Below are 6000 nucleotides of genomic sequence, written 5' to 3'. Positions count from 1 at the left end.
AGATGGTGAGGTGGATGCCCTGATGTGGCAGAGGCTAAAGAAAAACCAATGAGGAGTACCTGAGCCATCTTGGGGATGAGGAAGAGGCCAGCAGGAGTTAGCTAGACAACTGCAAGTACACTCCAGGCACAGGGTCAAATGGGAGCAAAGGATCAGACACTTAGCAGGGTGCACTCAGCATCCTGCAGGATTGAGCAAATGGCTGGGGGCAGAGCCAGGGAGAGAGACAAGAACCGTGAGAGCTGAGGATGGGAAGGCCAGCTCCTGCCTTTCCTGTCTTTCCCCAGTGGCAAGTAGGGTAGTACTTAGCATCTCCTGGCACCACTCCAAGCTGAGATGGGCAGTGACCCTGGCCCTGTAGGAAGCCTGTATTTTTCAAAAGCTTCTTTAGAGAAAAGAGCCCCAGGAGAGTAGAGGGCCTGAGTCTGCACTGGCAGGAAAAGTGGACTAAATTCAGGCCAGACTCAAAATAGCTCCTGGAGGTTGACCAGATGGAAATTAGATTACTGCTGTATGTGGGCATAGCACTCAGGAGGCCAGTAAAACAGTGAGAACAAGGGAGTGATCCCTTCTAGAGAACGGGGTGCAAATGTTACAAAATATTTGTGAGCCATGACTTTTAAAAAAATTCAAACGCAAAGATTTTTTTGAGTGCCACAGGGGAAAAATTACTTTGTTAATAGATGAGTATCAAGAGATCAAGAGGATTGTCAGTCCTGCTGTTTAAAATATTAATATCTGGACAAGTTAGGGATGTAACAAACTGCAGCCAGCTTTTTAATGTTTCTTCCTGAGCTCAGAACAATTCAGTCATTCTCCTTAGGTTGCTGTAACCAGGCATGTGGTATCCCATTAGGAAAATGCACCCAACCTTAGACAAGGGCTAGTCTGTAACTCTCTTGTGTCTGTCTGTCCCCTGGATTTACGTGGAAGACCACCTGCTTAAGATAACCCAGGGCCAGGTGCTATGTATACCTGTACCATCTATGCCACTTTGGTTTTCTTCTGTCATTACTGTGTTGTTTTGGGAACTTGGTTCAGGGAAATGATGATGCCAGCAGGGCAGATTCCCTGAGCTGCCCAGAATCCCAGAGGGTACCCCTGGGGCAGGCGGGTATGGTTTACTCATCTTCAAGCTGCAGGAAGTAGTGGCTCCAGGATAAGCACCTCAGCCTTCGGAGAAGGACGGGCTTGGGGAAGGGAGATTTTAATGTAGTGTAAACAAGACAGAGGATTTCATAAGCTTCTCGGAAACTCCTGGACCTGACACTCATCATCTGCTACTAAATTTGGCCCTTTCATGTTCCTTGCACAGGATATAATGGCAACCATGACACAGACTCTGGGCTGAATTTAGATAAACAACATGGCTGCTGAGGATTTGTACCTGTTAAAAGTCTAAGAAATGTCAAAGGTTGTAGTAAGTATGACTCAGGACAATTTCATTTAAGTTGTCAAAAGTAGGAAAAAGTCAGCAGTATAGCTGATCACTCTCTTTTGTGCTTTTTTGCACTTGTAATTTCCATGACTCTCACTAAACTGCGGGAGGTAAAACTATTTTTGTTCTCTGGGCTTTTGCGTCGTGTGTAAGCTGATTCCCAAGTTTGGGTAATATTGTGGAAAGCGTCAGTACCACCACTGAAGCCTCCTGGAGCCCCATCACCTCCACCCTCTTCCCGGGCAGGTGGAGTGAATCTCCCTGACTTTGAATTTCCAGAGTACTCGTGCATGCCTCGATTACAGCACTAGTTGCTTACAGCAAATTATCTGTTCACGAGTCTGCCTCCCCCACTGATCTTTGACCCCCATAAGGGGTTCTTTCATTGCCTTTTGTATTCTCAATGTGAGGACAGTGCCTGGGACACAGTAGGCACATATTTGATGCTGTGCGGTCATCCTGATTCTGGAGGATGATGTTTTTGGTAGTCAAATGACAATGGAATAGAGCCCCATGGAAAGACAGTTCGGAGGTAGAGGAAGGAGCAGAGAATTTGGAGACCAGAATTCCTTTTTTATTTATTAGATGTTCCTGTCACTATGGGCCAACCATCAGTTTGACCTTTTGTCTCCCATGCAGTGATAATAGTGCTTTCCTTCTAGATTTTTGGGAGAGAATTAAATGATGCAATAGATATGAAAATGACTTTGCGACTGGGCTGAGTTTTATGGAGGAGAAGCATCATCATTAATGAAAAGAAGCAACTGTAGCCAGGGATTGGGACAATCACACTGCTGTGTAGTTTCCTCACATGCTCTTTGGATGATCTTGGGCACGTAAATTACTTCTTGCCTGTTGTGGATTCTTCATCTCTAAGGAAATTGTCAGTTCTATTTCCCAGGGTCGTCGTGAGGATCAAAAGAGATAACACACGTGAATATAGTTTAAGATTATTTGATAAAGGGGGGATGAGTTTGTCCAGGGTCTTCCTTTTGTCTATTTTCTTTGCTGTCCTCTTGTCTGTCCCTGCCTCCACACCACCAATTCTGGGCCTATGTACGTGCATGTAACCCAGAGGGTTCTTGGCAGTCTGCTATGAGGATGGGATGGAGGAGGGCAGTGGAAGCCACCTGTGCTGAAAGCCCCCTTTTGGGGAGATGCTTTCAGGTGTACAAACAGACACATACATTTCTGATATATCTGTATCCAACTGGGCCCAGGTAATGCTTGCCACTCTTAAATAAGATCAGCTTTTTCTGTCAGCAAGACAATGTAAGCAGTTAGGGTTCTTCCCTGTGCACTGAAAATAAAGCACTTTGAAGCCTGATTAAGTAGATAACCAGGACCCTAGATTCACCAAAATTATGTTGCTACATTAGTATTTACAAGAAACATTAGCAAGCCAAGGCACACAGCTGGTGTGTCAGGGTATATGTTAAGACAGTAATCTGTGGTCTGTCCTCTGGTAGAGGAATACAGTTGGGTGAGACTCTGTTGTACTTTATTCATTTTATCCCAAGTTTCTCTTTCCAACAGGTCTTTTAGATTGTGAACTCCCAGAGAAGAGAGACATGAGGGATCTTGGGGTGTCAAGTGGAAGCTGAGAGGGAGCAGACGATATCCCAAGCCTGGGGGGCTGTTAGAGATTGGTGAACCCACCAAGTGACAGCATTTTCACCCTTCTCTGTCCACACCCCAGGTTAGCAATAAGACATGGGCAGAAATGGTTGTGTAGAGTTCCCAGAAGGACTGAACCCCAGGGAATGAGGCTACTGGCTCCAGCACCAATTGGATTCCTCTGCCCCTTACACAGGCTGGGAAGTACCAGGCACTCAGACTTCAAGAGATCATGTCAGCTCTTTGTTTGACCCTGGTAGGTCAGAAAACCCCAGTAGGTACTGAGACAGGATCTTGAAACCATTGCTCAGAGTTGGATTTGATTAAAATAAATAAATGTGACATTTCTTGGGTGGCTGAATATGAGCAAACTTACTCTCACTTTGTTGGCACTATTTATTTTAGAAATTTGACTCCCATGGGGCTCTATGGGGTCAGTTGATATCCAGTCCAGTTTCTAGCATCTACATCTTCAGGAATGTAGGGGTTCGAAGTGTTGGCAGTGGAGCAAGAGGAAAAGCTGACAGCCAGGTTTCAGAAGTCAGACTGGCGGGGTGTAGTGGAGACTGCCATTCACCTGAGCTGGGAGTTCAGGTGTCTTTCACTTCTCTTCCCATTGAGAATCTTTCAAAGCCGTGGAAGTTGTGACAATGGCAAACCACTAACCAGGTACCATGCTAAGAACGTAACACACATCAACTCATTGTTGATGTCAATACCCATAGCAACTTTGGGAGCTTCCCATTGTAGAGATAAAGAAACTGTACAGAGGTACAGAGATGTGCAAGATCACAGAGCTAGTCAGAGATTGAGCCAGGAGTGAACCAGGTAGCCCATCTTCAGAGTTCATGCCCTTAGAAACTGCATTCTTCTGCCCGTCCATCTTGACTCATCTAAGCTGGGTTGTTAGGTGTCATTTGCATATTCTTTTGTGGTAATTAAGAGGTAGAGTACTTATTTTTTTTAGGACAAATCTGTAGAAGTCCTAAAACAAAAGGGGATCTCTGGATAACTCTTGGTTGTTTCATGTCAGCAGTACAAAGCAATTCTCCTCCTAGCACATTTTGCTTAATCTAGATTTTGCGTCAACAAATAACTTTCAGTAACTGAGGCAATCTTGAAGCGGATTAGAGCAAATTCCTCCTGTGCTACTCCATAACTAAACCAAATCTGGTCTGGTCTGTGGGGCTTGTCTTTGGAAATGCTGAGATATAGGGAGTGGCAGGGTGAAATCACAACATTCTCTTTGCTTTCTGGCAAGAATGTTGAATTCTTACTGAGCGGATGTGGCAAACACAGAGTGGTTGGTTTTATCTGAACCGTTCCATTAAAATGAAATTTGACTAGGGATTTGAAGAGTATTATGACTACCTTGGGGAATTCCTGTGTGGATGTAAATAGAGCTTAGTATTTGTTTATAGGTAAATACCCAAAAGATCATCACAGGTGAGGGTTTAAAAGATACAGCAAGAGTAGCTTTTAAATCAGGGCTTTATTTTATATGTGGGTACTTCGCACATAGCACTAATTTCTGGATATGAAGATGACATTTCTTATGGTACTTTCAACTCATAGTTATATAGCAGAGGATTCATATAAAGACAGGTATATTTGTGCTCTATGTAGGTTTTAATTTTATCCTTAATACTAAGAGAGAGTAACATCCAAGTGACTAGAAGCTTCCCTTGTTAGAAGCCTTGAAACTGCTCCATTCCTCCCCTCTTTCTCCCTGCCCAGGGAATCTACCACAGGGCTTTTTGCTGCAATCAAAATAAGGCTCAGCAAAGAGCAAATCATTGAATGCAAGTCATCTGGGAGGCCCCTCCCAGCCATTTTGTCCTTAGTGCCCTTATACTACTTTTCATTTCTGATCCAGCTTTCCCCTTGGACTGAGATTTCTGACTCTCTGCTCCAAAGCCATCTGTCCATCCATCCATCCATCCATCTGTCCATCCATCCATCTATCCATCCATCCAGCCAGCCATCCATCCAGCCAACCATCCATCCATCCATCCAACCATCTATTCATCCATCCATCCAGCCAGGCTCCCATCCATCCATCCATGCGTCCATGCATCCATGCATCCATCCACCCACCCACCCATTCATTCATCCAGCCAGCCAACCATCCATCCATCCAGCCAGCCAGCCATCCATCCATCCAGCCATCCATCCATCCAGTCATCCATTCATCCATTCATCCAGCCAGCCAGCCAGCCAGCTACCCAGCCAGCCATCTATCCATGTGCCCATTCATTCTCCTCCTCAGGTATTATCTATTCCCTGCCTTCTCCACACTAGTCCTTCTTCAGTGCCCCAGACCCTCCTGCATTGGCTGTCCTTGCGGGGCCTGTGGACTTCCAGTGGCTCCTTCTCTCATCACACAGGGGTATGCAGGGCACTGTGAGGCCATCCTCAGGCTCACCTTCCAGGAGCCCCCTCCTGGCCAGTCTGAGTCCACTGTTGTGCTGGGGTGGCTGGTTGGCAGTTCCCATCCAGCACACCCCTCTGTGATTGGGTCTAAGCCCACATGCTGGAGTGGGAGGAGGGGAAGTTTGGGGGACAGAAGGCTCCACTTCTTTCTGTGTGGTGTGAGCTCCCTTGCATACCTTCTTTTATGCCCTGCTATGCATGGTCAGCTGGAAAAGCTTTGAGTCTTTATACATTGTTTTGTTTTGTTTTTAAAGCTTTAGAAACCCTGATAAAATCCTTTCTCTTACCAGTTGTTCTTACTTCTTTCTTTTTTTTTTGAGATGGGGTCTTGCTATGTTGCCTGGGCTGGTCTCAAACTTCTGGGCCCAAGCATCCTCCCACCTCAACCTTTTGAGTAGACTTACAAAGTCTATCGCCTTTAGGGTGAAGAACAATTTGAAATTCACAGCATAACAATGGTGTCTTTCCTCCAGTTAGCACGTCCCCTTCCTGGGGCTGCGAGTCTCAGCAGC

Source organism: Homo sapiens, chromosome 13 (assembly GCF_000001405.40).
Source record: "Homo sapiens chromosome 13, GRCh38.p14 Primary Assembly".
In the NCBI taxonomy this organism is placed as follows: Eukaryota; Metazoa; Chordata; class Mammalia; order Primates; family Hominidae; genus Homo; species Homo sapiens.
This window is presented reverse-complemented; position numbering follows the sequence as displayed.